At 48.7% G+C, this 16,995-nt stretch overlaps 1 long non-coding RNA gene across 5 annotated transcripts in view, besides 2 other annotated features; it reads left to right on the plus strand.

Moving 5' to 3' along the window:
• The window catches only part of LINC02641 (long intergenic non-protein coding RNA 2641), a 214,291-nt gene that overhangs the window by 92,511 nt on the left and 104,785 nt on the right, over positions 1-16,995 (plus strand). For 4 of the 5 annotated variants that reach the window (XR_007062326.1, XR_002957104.1, XR_002957105.1 and 1 more), the window contains one exon: positions 8,920-9,079. The exons of the other annotated variant lie outside the window; for it this stretch is intronic. This is a non-coding gene — a long non-coding RNA (long intergenic non-protein coding RNA 2641). The remainder of the gene's footprint in view (positions 1-8,919; positions 9,080-16,995) is intronic. 5 annotated transcript variants of the gene reach the window in all.
• Positions 5,279-5,338: an enhancer, noted in NCBI's record as "active region_4159". NCBI's record gives its function as "activates an Ori minimal core promoter by ATAC-STARR-seq in GM12878 lymphoblastoid cells {active_cell/tissue: GM12878}" and the evidence as "EXISTENCE:reporter gene assay evidence [ECO:0000049][PMID:35858748]".
• Positions 6,469-6,969: an enhancer, noted in NCBI's record as "H3K4me1 hESC enhancer chr10:125206418-125206918 (GRCh37/hg19 assembly coordinates)". NCBI's record gives its function as "activates a minimal SCP1, AML or CMV promoter by ChIP-STARR-seq in naive H9 embryonic stem cells {active_cell/tissue: H9 hESC(naive)}" and the evidence as "EXISTENCE:reporter gene assay evidence [ECO:0000049][PMID:30033119]".

The raw sequence follows: 16,995 nt of genomic DNA on the forward strand, positions 1-16,995 counted from the left end.
TCTGAAGAAATGAGGTTTGAAATTTGGATCTTACTTTATTATTTTTTCTCCAAATTATTCAGTGATAGGACATCCTTGCCTGACTTCCAGTAGTCAGATGGGTTCGATGTGGCTTCAAGAAGTTGAGAAGTTGATATAATCTCTTCCTTTGAACTCTCGATAGGGCAAGATTACTGCTGGTTGTGCAAAGAGCAGACCTAGTGCAGTGGACAGAGTCGCGGATCACCCTTTCCCCCACCTCCCTGGACCAGTCCAGGAAGAGAGAGTTATGCAAAGTGTATAATACTTTAAAAAATAATATCCTGTTTTGCAAAATTGCATTTCATTCAGGAAATAACAGGATTTCCCATCTCGGCCGCAACCCTGTGGAGAAGGTGAATGAACGCTTTGGTGGAGGAGGCTGCCCCTGTCATTAATAGCGCCTGGGTTTAAACTTATAATTAAAATAACCTTTAAAATTCAATTTTTATAGATGGAGGAGATAACTTGATTTGAAACCCTTCAATGCACACATTTTATGTAGCACTCACCCAAATCCAATGGTACCATAGAAAAACGGGAACATAAAACTTGATGATGAGAGTTTATATAACTTTTAAATATCAAGCTGTCAGGCTTTGTGCCGGTAGAAATATTGTAATTGGACAAGAGTAAAGAAAAAGAGTTTACATTAGCATTGAGGGTTTTTGAGTGAATTCAGACCAAGCAGAATATAATGGAAACCCCTTTAAAAGAAAGAGGAGAGAAAAACTCGAGGTCCAAGCATAGTCTGACCTTCCTTTCAGAAGAGATCTGCTTGATAAAACAGACACAACCCCAATAAAATACTAACAATAGAAAAAAGTAAATAGAAATCATATTAAGCAGTGGCGATATTGCCTGAATTGAAACAAAAATTAGGTATAATAGCCTTGGCGGGTTTTAATATGGTCCCCAATCATATCACAATACGAAGCATATCATGGTGTTTCTAAATAATGTTTATCATCTTGAAATCTCCCTGCCTGGTAGACAACTTGCATTATTTGAGGTTTGTGGGTTTTTTTTTTTTTAAAGAACTCATAAATATTTAATGTCCAGGATCAAGAATGGGGCTGGGGGAGGGGACATGTCTCTCAGAACAGTAATGTTTCTCTGTGTGACAGGCCCTGGCATTGTCTGGAGCTAAGGCTTGGCCCTGGTGTGAAGCTTTGGGATGAGGAGTGTGTCCCTCTGAGGACCTGGAGCCCCCTGGTACCAGGGTTACAGAGAGGATCCCAGATGGCAGGGCAGCCTGCCCCAGATGCACTCACACCTGTCCGCTGTACCTGGGCAGGAGTAGTCTCGGGTGACTTTTTCCCTTGTGCATTGTGGAGCACGGGGCTACAGAGGAAAAAAAAGTGGGCCAGTGGGCTCCTGTTGGCCATATCCTAATGCAATTCTGAATTCTAGGAGCTGGTGGGAACATTGGCCTTCCAGCTGGCTATCCATCTCCTCCACTGGTCAACCAGCCAGTGTGTCTTTATTGAGGGCCTTCAAGGGGCCAGGCATAGAATCCTCAATGTTGTTTTCTGTTGCTTGTAAGATTCTTAAGGGAATATTTTTGACCTTTTCTGAAGTTTCAGAAGCCTGTGTTTTCTTCAGGATCAATGCTGCATGCATTCAATAAGAGTTTGGAATCTGGTCTTTTTTAGACTTTTTGGCTCAGGATGGGAAGAGAGGCGAGCCAGAGAAAGCAACTAGCCCATGTGCTGTTTCCTCACAATACCTGCAATTCATTTTTAAAAAATCTCTGACTCTCCAGTTCAGTTCTGCACCATTCGTTCATTTGTTCACTCCACAAATATTTACTGAGAACCTACAGTATGCCAGGCACTATTCCAGGCTCTGGGGGTACGATATTGATCAACCCAGCACATTTGCTGTCTTCCCGGAGCTAGTATGTCAGTGGATATTGCACATCACTTGAAACATGGGCCCCCTTAAGAGACAGAGAGGTGAGATGCAAAATACCTTTTTGGGAACAGTGACTGGTTTGGGCTCAGAAGCACCTTGACTCACACAGGATTTATACCAGTCTTTCATGCAAGAGCCAGCAACCACTGTGCTCATACAGTTCTTCCCCACCAGACTTCAGCATCCTCTCAGGGAAGGGGACCAGAACAGGGGACCATCTTCACTGGTCCTGGGCCTTTCTCTCTGTGTCCATTTGCTAATGTTCCCTGCAGCTGTCTCAGGTGGACGCGACTGCCACATCCTTGAACATGGGCACATTTACTTACACAGATGCACAGAACCTGACATGCTCCCTTTTGAGTCCCAACATAGTGTCACCACCCTGTCAATTGCCCCAGAAAGAGGACCTGAGCCAACAGCACTGCATTCTTGTCTGCACAAAAACAGGGATGGTCTCGGGAGAATAATGAAGAGGAAGATTTGGCTTGCCCTGGGCCTGGGCCACCACATAGGGTCCGCTGCCTACTGTGTCTCTGGGTCCCGTGCTCCTTGGGAAGCCAGCTGTGGTTGTCATGACAGCAGCCACCCCTGGAGCTCCCACAGCATGGAGTCTGGCCTATCTCAGAGTTGCCAGCCTTTCCCTGTCTACCAGACCATGGAGGTCCAGCCATACATGTCATGTGGCCCAACCGATCAGCTAGTGAGAACTGGCGAGTGACTTAGAGAGCCAGCTCTGGGTCTAGAAACTATCACATAGACCACAAAGAAACTCACTGTGGTCCTCAGAGTCAAGGGCCTGAGACAGTATCATCTCACCAGCAGACATTCAAATTTGATCTTCCTTTCTGAGGCCAGAGGCTGAATCTGGAAGGCCATGACAAGAGTGAGGAGGATTCAAGGAGTGGCAACAGCCGACAGGCTAGCACATGGCATGCTTAGGGCTGTGCCGGGGCTTGTGGAGCCCTGTCACCTCTATGAAATGGGTGCTGCAGGCCGGGCGCAGTGGCTCACACCTGTAATCCTAGCACTTTGGGAGGCTGAGGAGGGCAGATCACGAGGTTAGGAGATGGAGGCCATCCTGACCAACATGGTGAAACCCCATCTCTACTAAAAATACACAAATTAGCTGGGTGTGGTAGCAGACGCCTGTAATCCCAGCTACTCAGGAGGCTGAGGCAGGAGAATAGCTTGAACCCAGGAGGCGGAGGTTGCAGTGAGCCAAGATCGCGCCACTGCACTCCAGCCCGGGAGACAGTACAAGACTCCGTCTCAAAAAAAAAAAAAAAAAGGGCACTGCAGGCAGCCTGTGCTAGGTGTGAATGCTGGCCCTGTCACTTCCTTACTAAGTGACCTTGAGCAAATCACACAGTTTTTCTGAGTCTTGCTGTTCTCATCTATAAGTGGGTATGACTGCATGAAGCAGTGTGAGGATTCAATCTCATATGCAGCAGGCTAAGTGCTGGGAACAGTATCAGGCTCCTGGGCTGTGGCCAGCAGGGCTGTTCTGTGAGCACCTGGGCAGGTAGAGCTCTTTCTCCTCCCCACTGATGTAGGCTTTGCCACCAGGGTCCAAGGCACAGCATCTTTGGTTGCCATTGTTTTACAGAATTTCAAGGGAAATAGCATTCCCTATTCTGTTTCCTGCACAGCTCCTGCCACACTCTTCTTGGGGTGGGCTCTCTGGAAGTACCTCCCTTCTTCTGCAGCCCTGAGACAGGCTGGACCCTGCTGTGAGAAGGGGGATTCCTGCTGGGATGCCCACAGGGAGGGTGAGCAAACATGGGTCTGTCCCTCAAAGGGCTCAGCATGCCCTAGAGACTGGAGAAGTTTGCAGGGATGCCAGGAGTGTAGTGGGGGGTTGTGGGTGGTGGGCAGTGTGGAGGCCCAAGCAGGGCCTAGTGGTAGGTCATGGTCAGTCCAGCACTGACACTTTGAATGATGAAGATGTGGCAGATTCCTGCCCTGGGGCCAGAGATGGCTACCAGGTCACGGAGAAACAGGGCTCATGGGGGCATTCTGGAAAAGTCTTGCTTGGTTGGAGGTCACTAACGTTGCTGCCAGTGTAATACAGAGTCTTGAGGAGGGCCTGGGGTCAGCGAGAAGAGAGACAGAGTGGGGAGGCTCAGAGAGATAGACGGAGACAGGGAGGGAGAGATACAGAAAGGGACAGAGAGACCAAGAGAGAGGGAGGCTCAAAGAGACAGAAGGAGACAGAGACCAGGAGAGGGGGAGGCTCAGAGAGATGGAGAGGGAGATGGGGGGCGGGGTGGAGGGAGAGAGAGAAAGAGAAAAAGAGAAAGAGAAAGAAAGAGAAAATAGGGAGAGAGGTCAGAGAGAGGAAAAAGAGAGAGAGACAGGCACTTCCTGAGTGTGCCTGCCAGGCACCGCTGGGCCTGAAGAGGGTGAGCGGGGTGACCGTGTGCCAGCACAAGGGGGCTAAGCATTTCTGTGTCCCCACATTTGTTGTTACCCACAGTCCTTTGAGGTAAATATTATTAGTCCTCAGTGGACTGTGGCCCATTTTACAGACAACGAAACAGGCTCAGGACCTCCCCACACCCTCTCCTTTTTGCCTGCTCACTTTCTCCATCCCTCAAGCACAGACCCCAACCTCTGCCTCCTGAACCCGCCACTGCTCAGCTTTCCCTTCCCCAACCTCACTTCACAGGATGGCAGGGGCGATCCAGGCCATAGCTGCTCACTGTCCTGTGTGCTTTTGGTTAACATGGGTGAATCTTGTCTCCCTAAATAAAATTTGTCCTTCTCAGGGCAGAGAGTGTGTCAAAACCCCCAATATCATAGAGATGTTCCCTTGAAATTGTGTGCAGATTGACGTGTGTACGCACGTAGCTATTTTTCTGGGGATGGGGAGGTTGTTCACAGCCCTCACCAGCTTCTCATATAAAAAAGCAAAGCCCCAAAGCCCCACTGCTCTGGACGATGCTTCCTCCATGAACAATCTGGGGTCTTAAAGGGACCAGAAATCCCTCCCAGTGTTTCAAGATCACCTAACAAGACAGATGCGCTTGAACAAGGCGGCCCAGCTTCTCAATGCTTGCTGTGACAATGAGGTTGAGGAGTGGGAAATGGAGAGTGGGAGGTTCTCATCAGGTTACAGGAAGGGGCCAGGAAGAAGGGATGTGGTTCCCAGGACCAGGGTGAGCCGTGAGCTGACTGACCTCAGACCAGAGCAAAGGCTGAGGCTGTGCATGTGTGGGCGTGTGTGTGCATGTGTGTGCATGTTGGGGATGGGGGCGAGAACACCTCACCCTCACATGCACTGCTCTCACCCAGTACCATACATGGCTGCCTCTGCCCCAGCTCAGCCTAGAGCGGGCGCCTAGGCTCTATTGGAGAATGTGCACCAAGAAGACCCAGGTCCTTTGTGTCCCTAGGAGGAATGGAGAGGCCCTTCCTGTGTCTTACAGTCAAGGATTCCTGGCTCCTGAGAGCACCACCCCAGAATGCCTTCCAGGGCTAGGAGAGGTACCACTGCTAGTTCACACAGGATGTGGAGCTAGCAGCTGGTGCAGTGAAAGGTTTGTGCCGCGGTCTCCCGCCTGCTTCAGCGCGTCTTTGGCTCTGCCTTGGACAGTGTCTTAGACTCAGTATTCTTACTTTAAAGTAGGCCTGAGAAGAAATCCTGCCCAGCTTTCACTCAGTTGTTGTGAGAATTAACTAACAATAATAAATAGACACGTGTGTGTGTGTGTGTGTGTGTGTGTGTGTGTGTGTGTGTGTGTGTCTACAATTACAGGTTGTCATTGTAAAGTCCTAAGCAAACATCCCCTGCTAGTATTTCCCTTAATGAATCCATTGCTTAGACTTCAGTCACTAGGAGATCTGACTGCTGTGGTCACACGTCTCAGGATCGAACAGCAGATGGGTGCAGAGTGGTCAGTGATGGGATCGGGACTTGCGGAACCCCGGGTTGTGTTGTGAATCTTCGCGTGGTTCAATTCCTTCCTTTATTGCTCTATTGCTTGCTTTAGAATTTAGCACACTGAGCCCTTCATGAATGCCATTCCATGCTGAGCCTTTGAGAGTACAGGTCTGGGATCCTGGGCTCTGTCTAGAAAATTCTCTGATCTAAAATACCAACAAGGATGGAAGCCTTTGGGTCTCCCTGTGCCCATGCTTCTTTCTAGCTGCCCTGGGCCTGCAGACGCAGGCAGAGAGAGCTTCGCAGAGGAGGAGGTGGAATGAGGATTGCTGGGAAGCAGGCACTGTGCCCAGCGCCTCTCAGGATACATCCTCCACAGGACTCTGCATGGGGAACAGCGCTGTGCCTGTTCACCAAGGACAGAGCTATCCTTAGCAGGGAGTGCGCTTGCTCGAGGTCTCAGAGGTGCTGAGCGCAGCAGGCTGGGAGCCAGGTCTTCTGACTTGAGGGTCTGTGCCTTTCCTCCTTTACAACCTGTTGCCCTCTGTCTTCTCCCTGTCCCCCTCCCTGATCCAACCCAGTCCCTCAGCTGCAGCTGAGTTTCAACCACGGATGACTTCCATTTCTTTAATATCCTTCCTTGGTGGTAGCCTTGATCCATGTTAAGAAGGATGCCCAGGCTGCATCTGGACTCTGTGGGAAAGCATGCAGTGGTCGATTAGCAATGTCTGCCTTGGGCTTGGGGAGGAGGAGGTGCTTGGCATTTCCATACCTTCCCTAGACTCTTTAGCTATCCCACAAACACTCATGTGTCAGCAACGTCCCAGGTGCTGTTCAAGGTGCTGTGGTGGCCAAAGAGGGACAGGTCAGCAATGTCCAGTGATGCTAGGCTTGGTGCTCTGCTGTCCCTCCCGTGTGAACACAGTGGTCACAGGCCAGGCATCTCCTGCAGCAGTGGAGGTAGCCAGGGCAAGGCCCTGAGTGCCACTGTAGCCAGGGAGAGTCAGTGGCATCTGCTTCCCTCTGAGCCAAATTGTTTAAATGCCTCCACTTGCCCCTCAGTCCTTCCTTAATCTCAAATGACCCTGGAGGGTATTGGTGGCAAGATAGCCCTACGGGCAGAGCCTCCACCTAGGGCATAGTTGGCTGCCATGCTGTGAAGGAGCCTAGGGCATGGGACAAGGGCCTGGATGTGGGAATGGCTGTGGGCCCCAGGAGGCAGGGACAGGCGAGCCGCCCCGACCTCACAGCTCCCCAAGCACATGCCACCCCCGTAAGCCTACCAGGTAAGACACAGCATACCCAGCCACATTTGAATTTCAGTTAAACAACAAATACGATCTTTTAGTATAAAGTGTGTCCCCGATAATTTCACTTACTAAATCTGACAACCCTACAGTCTTGCCAAAGGAACTCTGGGCTCCAAACCCAGAAGGGCTTAGGGCCTCAGCCTCCCACTCTTCATGGAAACTGAGAAAGCCCCAACAAGGAGGAGGGAGGAGGGCCAGGCCTGCCAGCTCTGCAGAGAGAGACACTGTCAGTGTAAGTTGGCAGTTACGGATGTAGGCTCAGAAGCTTGACTGCTGGGTTCAAATCCCAGCTCCAGTGCTCACTAGCTGGGAGACCTTACAGCAGTGGCCTAACGTTCTGAGCCTCAGCTTTTCCATCCACAGAATTGGGAATGAAGGGATAGCTCCTGCCTTTCTGGGCTGTTGTGAATCTATTCATGTAGACGGTGTATAGTGATCTTGTCCGGGTCGTACATGGCAATGATCCGTGCAGGCAGTGGTGGTGGTTGCTGTGTCATTTTTGGATGAGTCTGGGGAGGGGGCCTGGGTCGTGGCTTCTGGTCCAACCTCTGTCACGAGCTTGCAGGATTTCCTTGGGCTGGTCCCACCTACCCATTAGGGCTACAATTGTCTATGTGTACAGAGCAGGTTGGACTCAGTTCATTGCAAATTAATTAATTAATTAATTAATTTTGTTTTGGAGATGGAGTCTTACTCTGTTGCCCAGGCTGGAGTGCAGTGGCGTGATCCTGGCTCACTGCAACCTCTGCTTCCTGGGTTCAAGCGATGCTTCTGCCTCAGCCTCCCAAGTAGCTGGGATTACAGGCACGCACCACCACACCCAGCTAATTTTGTATACTTAGTAGAGATGGGCTTTCACTATGTTAGCCAGGCTGATCTCAAACTCCCGACCTCAGGTGATCTGCCTGTCTTGGCCTCCCAAAGTGCTGGGATTACAGGCGTGAGCCACTGCGCCCAGCCTATCTATTTATTTTTGAGACAGAGTCTCACTCTGTTGCCCAGGCTGGAGTGCAGTGGCACAATCCCGGCTCACTGCAACCTTTGCCTCCCGAGTTCAAGTGACTCTCCCGCCTCAGCCTCTTGAGTAGCTGGGACTACAGGCGCATGCTACCATGCCCAGCTAATTTTTTTTTTTTTTTTCTAGTAGAGACAGGGTTTCACCATGTTGGCCAGGCTGGTCTCGAACTCCTGACCTCAGGTGATCCATCCACCTCGGCCTCCCAAAGTGCTGAGATTACAGGCATGAGCCACCACACCTGGCCTCATTACAAATTTAAAAGATGTTTTATTTGAGTAACAGAACCATTCTCCAAAAGAGAGCTCACAAAGAGCCCCAGCAGATAGACGGCCAGGTGTGGTAGCTCATGCCTGTAATCCCAGCACTTTGGAAGGCCAAAGTGGGCGGATCACCTGAGCTCAGGAGTTGGAGACCAGCCTGGCCAACATGGTAAAACCCTGTCTCTACTAAACAGACAAAAAATCTGTTGGGCATGGCGGTGCATGCCTATAATCCCAGCTACTCGGGAGGCTGAGGCAGGAGAACAGCTTGAACCCAGGAGGTGGAGGTTGCAGTGAGCCAGGATCCCACCACTGCACTCCAGCCTGGGTGATAGAGTGAGACTCCTTCTCAAAAAAAGAAAAAAGAAAAAAAGAACTCCAGCAGATAGAGATTAAACAAACAGAGCTGCTGGGGTTCAGAGGTGGATGTGTGTGTGTGTTTTATGGGAGGCGCTCTGGGTTAGTCCCCTGCCCTGCCCTCCTCACCTGGTCCATCTTGTGGGCATCCCCTAGGTGAGGCCAGAGGAGCTCCGTGCTGCTAGGAGATCCAGGCAGAAACATCCAGGAGTGGAAGCTCAGCCCAGCGGCTGGGAGGCTGTGGCACCTCCTGTCCACATGGCAGGCCAGGCCGAGGTGGGCTGGCTACACAGTGGGGCTCCCCCTCTCTGATAAGGTAAGCAGCTTGTTCATTGTCCCAGTGTCACTTGGGTCCCAGACAACCTGAGAGAGGGAGAAGGGGCTTTGTTCTCTTCGTTGCCTGGGGGTGGAACAGCCCTCTCTCACTCAGGGCCTTCTAGGTTCTTGTTTAATTAATCCTTCCTCAAACTCCATTCTCAGATATTGAAGTCTACACTCGAGTCCCCATTTTGTGGACAGGCAGGCTGAGGCCCAGTGGGGGCACCTGCTTGGGCCACACGGAGCCAGGGAGGGCTGAATGAGAACCTCCTGCCATCTTGGTGGTGGTGATGTGGGGCCCTGAGGGGTCATTTGTGTAGTCCCAGGGCTTGATTAATGGGGGCTAGACTAGGGGGCTCAGTCTCTCACTTTAGAAGCTGGGGAAGGACACCCACAGAGCTTCAGCAACTTGCTCAGCTCACATCACAGGCCAGAGCCAGCAAAGGCCCCATGCATCTCCCCAGGTTGAGTCAGTGACACCCGCTCAGTCAGCAGACAGCACCTCGAGAAAAAAATGATGTCTTCTTCTGCACCCTTTCCTGCCTGTAAATGGGCCTTTTGTTAAAAGCTCTGCCCTGTAAAACATGTAAGACACCTACCCTGTGTCCAAATTTCTTGCATTTCCTTTTCCTTCCCCTCCCCTACTCCGTCCCTGCATCAGGGACTCAGACATCTTCTAGGTCAAGTCTACCTTTCATTGGTGATGGGCAAGGGTTACCAATTGATGGGGTGACTCCTTAATCTTTAGGCCAGTTAACCCAAGAAAATCAGACCTTGCTAGTGACAGAGGAGCCCCTCCCTGGCTTTCTAGTTGGCCTCAGCGGTGCTACTGGTGAAGGTGGTGGTGAGATGTATGGACCGCCTGGTTATCTGTTTAATCCCCACTGCTGCCATTTGATTGTAATGGGGCCAGGTGGAAAGGGTCAGGTGTCATCATTCAGCCATTTATGCAGTGAATATTTACTGGGCACCTACTCTTTGCCAGTCTCTTGACTGGACAGATACACCCATGAGTCAATCATGACTTGTCCTCTGAGGAGCTCACAGTCTAGAGAGACAGACATGCAGATATCAGAAAATAACCTGAGTCAAAGGTGGCAGAAGCAGGACACACATAGTGGTGTGGGCATAGAGAGATGAGAGAATGTTCAGGCTTAAAAACATCCACATTATTTTTGCCTTTTGTAAGGCCAAACGGGGAGAAGGTGACAGAAGGGACGAAGATGCCCCAACCTGGAACAAGTCAATCATTTTAAAATTTCATTGCTGAACCCAACATAATTCAGACCTCATATCTGGCGAATGCATCAGTTCATTAGAACACAAAAATACACTATCAAACAGACAATCAAATTTCATGTAAAATAAGCTTCAGCATTAAAATGGTTCCTGGTGTTTTATGTGTGTGACTCGGTGGGCAGATATATTTCTTGCTACTAGAGCAAGACTGATTTGTGTGAAGGCTCCCGTCACCAAATCACTCGGAAGGCTAGGAGATAAAATGTCGCTTAGGATAATGTAATTGGCCTTAAGGTACAGGAGTTGAATTATTTTCAGTGATTTATAATCTGGAAATTAAAGACTCACTCATTTTCTAATTTAATTCCATCTTCAATGGAAAAATGTTCACTCTGATCTAAATTGGCGAGTAATGTTGCTAATTCAAATGCAGATGTAATTTCGATTCTGGTAGCAGTTTGCAGTGATTGACGGGTCTCCAAAGAATCATTACGATCCTTATCTCCCAATCTCACAAATTCCCCGGCAGTTGTGATAATAACTTCGGCTAAGGAGAAAAGGGAAAAAAATAAATTCTCCCCTGCCCTGTCGGTCTGGGGCTCGCCTTTTGCAGGATGTGAATTGTGGTTTCTTTTGCATCGACAGTGTCTGAGACAATACTGACACTTCCTTACCAAATTTGGTGGTGGCACACTGCAGGTTGAGTTGTTCACCAGTGATCTTTGCTCTCCAATATGAACGAAATGGGCCTGGGATAAGTTATTCTCGATTCACAGTTAATTAGCTGGGATTTTACACCACATTTGGTGCAATTCATTGATAAGTCTTAACTACCCAGGGACAGGCAGACAATGATTAGCCATAATCATGCAGGCTTTGCCCTCCGTCTCGCGGCTGTCACGTGGATAGCCCATGGTGATGTGTCTTCATCTCGGTAGACCCTAAGAAGCCAGGATGGAGAAATTATGAGGTCACTCTGGCTGTGTGAGAAGTGGCCGGGTCAGAGCGATGGTTGCCTGCATCATCTGTTTGCACAGCAAGGGGGCGGCCGCTGGGCTGAGCCATAGCCTTGGTCCACTGTGCACGTGAACACTCCTGACCTGGCCAAGCAATGGCTCTGGCTACTTCTAAGCAGAATAGATTTCTTTGGCTGACAGCTATTTTGATTACAGTAAAGCCGTCAGATTCTGAAAGTTGATGGATTCTCTATGGTTTAAACAATCACATAAAGATTTGGGGCAAGTTGTGTTGATTTCTAGGATGTGGTTACAGAGTGTGAGTGAGGAGTAGGATGTGTTGGAAATAAGCCGGCCCCACCTGCCAGCACTAGCTCTCACCCAACATGAGCATTTCCTCTGTGTAAGGTTTTATATCAGAACGTATTGATTTATAGCACATGGGTCGTGGTAGTACAACTTTGGGGAATGAAGGAAGTGAATCTCATTTGGGAAAGGGAAAGGAATAATTTTGATTTGGATTAAGAATAAAAGGAAAAAGCTTTTACAAAACATTTATGGCTATTTTATAATATTTTTAAAGTTTGATTTTTGTGTATATTAAGCTATGGAGCAAAGACTGCTTATGTCGCCCACAACTGTGCTCTCGTCTTATTTTTGAACACACTGCTGACCTATGTTTTCCAGCCTTCCTGGCTCCTTTGTTGGAGATTTCTGACCAAGTTTTGACCAAAAGAATGTGATCATGTATCCCTTCTAGGCCTGGCCCATAAAAACCTCCTATGCATGATCCTTGCTGTCTCACCACCCGCCTAATAAATGGAAGAACTCAGAGGACTCTTCCTTCTGTCTCTGAGAAGTCTGTGAAGCTTTACCTGAATTAGAAAGACACTCCTATTGGGTTAAACCATTGAGATTTGAGGGTTTGTTATTTAAGCAGCTAAGATTACTCATCCCAATAACAAGCTATATCCAACACAATGGTATAAGGAATAGATTTATTGATTTCCCCAGTCTCACAGTTAATTATTTGTGTATTTCACATATGGAACTGCCACTGACCAAGCATAGGCTGATCTCTGCATGATCCATAGATTATGAACAGCATTCCCATTTTGCCTTCAATCACCATGGCCTGGAATATGATCACTAGTAAATGGGAAAGGATTTTGGTTTTACAAATATATGAGCAGCTCACTAATACTGCATTTATATCAAGAACAAAGGGTAGCAAACATGCTTTCAATTTCAAGAAAGACATTTTCACTTAAATATGAAGACTCATTGAGACATGGTGTACGTCTTTGATGATTGTTTTCCTGATTGTAGATTTAGGCAGCATTAGTCTTAACCACATTAGGTGTGATGGACAAAGACAGCTGGATGGAGATCAGTCACCTTTCTCCTCCCCCATCTTCTAGTGGCCTCTTTCCCTAACCTCTCTACACATAACTATTTAACATGTGTTGGGAGAATTATCTGCTGAAGGTCTTGTTGATGTGTTATGCTTTCATCCAGCTGAAGGAATCTCAGAGACCATGGCATGAACTCAGAGAATAGATTCCCTGCTGCTTTTCAATAGAAGCATCAAGGAAGTCCATGTAACTGAAATTCATCGAGATACATGGTACATTGTCGGCACATGGTACATCAGTCTTGCTCCTACCCACTTCTGGGCTCAGTGTTCATCGTACCCTCAGTGTCTTTTGCTTTCCGGCTCCAAAAATCCTCATTCCCTGGGTGTTCACTGGATAAGCTAAGCACATTCTCACCTCCTTGCTTTGTTCATGTTACTTGCTGTGTCTGGAAGGACTGTCCCAGACTATGCACCATATTTGGAACACAGACCCAAGTCATCTCGCAAGTTTCAGCTCAAGCGTGAGTTCATCCTTGAAACCTTTTCTGCCCAGCTCTCCTCCCACCCATGAAAGACCTAATCTTCTCTTTTGTTGGACTGCCTTGTCACAGCACCTAGGATGTTGGACTCTAGTTTGTTTGCTCATCTTTCTCCCTCTACCCTGAGTTCAGAGGACAGGATGGTGATCTAATTGTCATTGCCATATTATTCATATCTTATCATCACCATCACCATCAGTTATATTACAGAAATATCCATGATACCTCATTCATGCTGCACCTGGGGGAATGAGCAGCCTAGTTCCTGGCTAATTTCTGCCTTCAACCCTAAGTACTGAGAATCCTTTTTATTGTGATGCCAGGCCACTGGCATGCCACCACCTGAGTGTCCTCCTCTGATCAATAGTGATAGATGGTGCTGTTGCTTCAGTTTCTGGCAGACCATCCCTATACACAGAGCTGCTCATGGTTAAGCATTTGGGTAGCTCTTCTGTAAATCACCAGGACCACTTGATGCCAGCAGGGGTGACAGAACCCAACTGTGCTGTCACTCTCAATGCACCTAATTCCCTTAAGCCATTCACCTAATAACCTGTGGTTCAGAGTTCTACAGGCTAATGACACAACATGTACATAAGTATTTCCTTTTGTGCTTTTCAGATTTTTTTCTTTTAATTTCATTAAGTGCCCTCTTGTTCCTGTATCACCAGTGAGTACACAGAGACACTTATTCACCTGCTCTTGGGCAGTCATCTTAGTACATGAGTATCCTCTTACATGACCCTGTTTTAGACCAAATGCTTAATCTTTTTAACTTCTCCTAGTATGGCCATCCCCATGAGGAGTTTTGGCTCTGGAACTTCAGGAGCAATCCTGTAGTCTATTTGTTCAGCTTATTGTTTCTTGATGATAATACTGGTAACAACTACCAATTATCAAGTGCTGATGACGAGCTAGGTGCTGTATTAAGTGGTTGGCATGCATTTTCTCACTTGATCCTCATAACCAATGCTATATGTTAGAAACTACTACCTCCACTTGATATATAGAGGAACTAAAGCCCAGAAGGGTCAAGTCCAAGGTCACATGGCCAAGCAGCATCGAGGGCTGCATTTAACCCATACTTGTATTGCGTTCCCCTCACACTGGCACCATCTGGCTCCCAGCCTGGAGGCTCTCTGAGGGTAACACCAGGGCCTGCATTTGTACCTCCCCCATGGAGCCTGGCTCAGATTTGACAATTGAATGGAAGAATGGCTAGAACCAATTCTACATTCTCAGTGTCCAAATGCTAAAGTTTTAAGTATAAGTAGGTGTCATTTTTGTTAAGCCCTTGTATTAGTCAGGATATTCCAGAGAAATAGAACCAATAGGGTGTGCGTGTGCTTGTGTGTGTGTTTGTGCGTGTGTCTGTGTAGGATGAGATTTATTTTAAGGAAGTGGCTCACACAATTATGGAGGCTAGCAAGTTAAAAATCTGCAGGGTATACCAGCAGGCTGAAGACCCAGGGGAAACTGATGTTGCAGTTCAAGTCCAAAGACAATCAAATCCACTGTAGAATTCCGCCTTGCTCAGAAGATGTTGTTTTTTGTTCTATTCAGGCCTTCAACTGATTGGACGGGGCTCACCCACATTATCGAGGGCATCTGCTTTACTCAAAGTCCACCAGTTTAAATGTTCATCTCATCCTAAACACCCTCACACTAACATCCAGAATAGTGTTTGACCATGTATCTGGGCACCACGGACCAGCTATGTTGGCACATAAAATGAACCATTGCAGCCCTCTTTCTCTGTTTTGAGGAAGACAATCATGGAGGTATTTGGGGATTTACACAGTACAGTGTCATTATCTACAATGGGCTCTGGAGTCTGCATTCGAATCTTAATTCATTTACTTACCATAAGACTTTAGGAAAGTAGCTCAACCTCCCGCATTCACTGGAAATAATAAGTGCTGGGAGGAGTAACACCCCAGGCTGATGGGGAGAGGAAATGGGAAGGTGCATGGAAATGTGCCCTGAAAGTGTTAACGCATGAAGCTCAGGAAATGAGCTGGATTTACTATTTTCTGCTTGGACATGCACTTCCTCCGTTGACCCCACCAGAATGGTGTTTCCAGCCAGGAATTCCCAATGATGAGGCTGTCTTGGGTACCATGGGCAGCTCTCCTTTAGTGGACATCACATTGGGTTCCCTGGCCATGGCTGATCATGGGCAGCCAGAGAGTGGCCTAAAGTCCGGTTGAGTGATGCAGAGCAGGCCCGGGCGGGAGCGCATCCTCAGAAGCGATCCTTCAGAGGCAGCACTTTAGGAGTGGGGCATGTGGACACCACCTGGTGGCTTGCACTACTTTTTTATTTTTCTGAAAAACTTTGGCTTAGGTTTTGAGTTCCTGAGCATGTTGTATATTAACTTATTTGATCTATGAGGTCAGTAGCATTCCTCTCATCTTAAACATGGGGAGAAGAGAGATTGAGTCACCAGCCAAGGTCACATACTGGCAAGCAGCAGGGCCCAGGCTTGACCCCAGGATGTCTAACACAAGAAGCCACGTTCCCAACCACTACTCTCCGCTGCTACCAGAGGCTGTCATGTGACCAGGCCCTTCTTAGAAAACCAGAACCTAAGAGGGCTCTATGACTTGTTGCATCAACCGTCACCCTGGAGTGGTTCCCAGACTCCCCTGTGTCACCTTGGTGGGGGGGTCCCTTTCCCTCCCAGAGCCTCACTTTCCCCATCTGTCTAATGGGAATCCTCCCTGTGTGGCCCTCCTTGGCCTTTGGGATTTCCTCTGGTTCTGAAGCTATCTCTTTTATTGTCCTGGCCCCAGGCAGCGACTTGCATTGCTTGGCAAGAGTAGATGTACCCCAAAAAATGGAGAACCTACAGTTGCCGGCATATCGTAAGGACTGATGTTTGCCCCATTTCAATCCCTCTGCTTATTCCACTTTCCAACCCTTCCAGAAAGTTCCATGCCAGGCAGCCTGAGTAAGGCAGAAAGGCTGGGCTGGATGCTTGGGTGTGACCCCCACAGGGACTCCCTATTCTTTCTGGCTGTCCATAAAGGTGGCAGCATTACTGCCTGTTTCAGAATGTCCAGCCAGCCACGTGGAAAAACACACAGCCTGAGGAAGGAAGGAAGGAATTGGGGGCTGGGAGAAGGGGTGAAAAGGTATTCCAGTCTTGGAGTTGCTGTCCTGAGGTGCAGGTGGTGAGAGTTTGTATGCGCTTTCCTGGGGCCAGGGCAAGCTGCCCATGATCCATTTGCTTTGGGAACATGGTCAGGCGGCCCAATGTCATGTCCACTAAAGGCAAGTATTGTGCCTGAACCATCAGCTGGATTGGAAAAAAACCCAATGCCAGGATACTGCTAAATGCCAAGTTGGGAGGTGGAGAAAGGAAGGTGACCGGCAGCTCCCTGTCACGTGCCAGGAGTGTGCCAGGGGCTTCCCTGGCCCACTAGAGTTCCCACTTTGCAGATGTGGAAACTAAGTCTCAGAGCCATTAGGCAACTTGCCACAAAACCACACAGTCAGCCAGCCTCAAAGCTGGCCAGTCCTAGAACCAGACCCCAGAGCCCTGCTCATTTTACCAGGCTCCCCTAATGGGACAGAACCACACAAAAGCTCAGGGAAGACGATCCCTGGGAACCTGCCCTGCCTCTCTGGGGCAAGCTGGGGAGGGACCACCAGTGGGCCTGGCTTTGGGGGTCTCTGCCAGGCTGGACCGTGGAGCTGATAAGCTGTGTGCTCATCTCCCTAGAACTACCATCTCCCTGGCCATTTAGGAATTCCCTCGGACTTCCTAGCAGGGCTGCCTGGTCGGGGCCTTGCCGGCTTCCTCTGCAGTCCCAGAGCT

This window comes from Homo sapiens, chromosome 10 (assembly GCF_000001405.40).
Source record: "Homo sapiens chromosome 10, GRCh38.p14 Primary Assembly".
Taxonomy (NCBI): domain Eukaryota; kingdom Metazoa; phylum Chordata; class Mammalia; order Primates; family Hominidae; genus Homo; species Homo sapiens.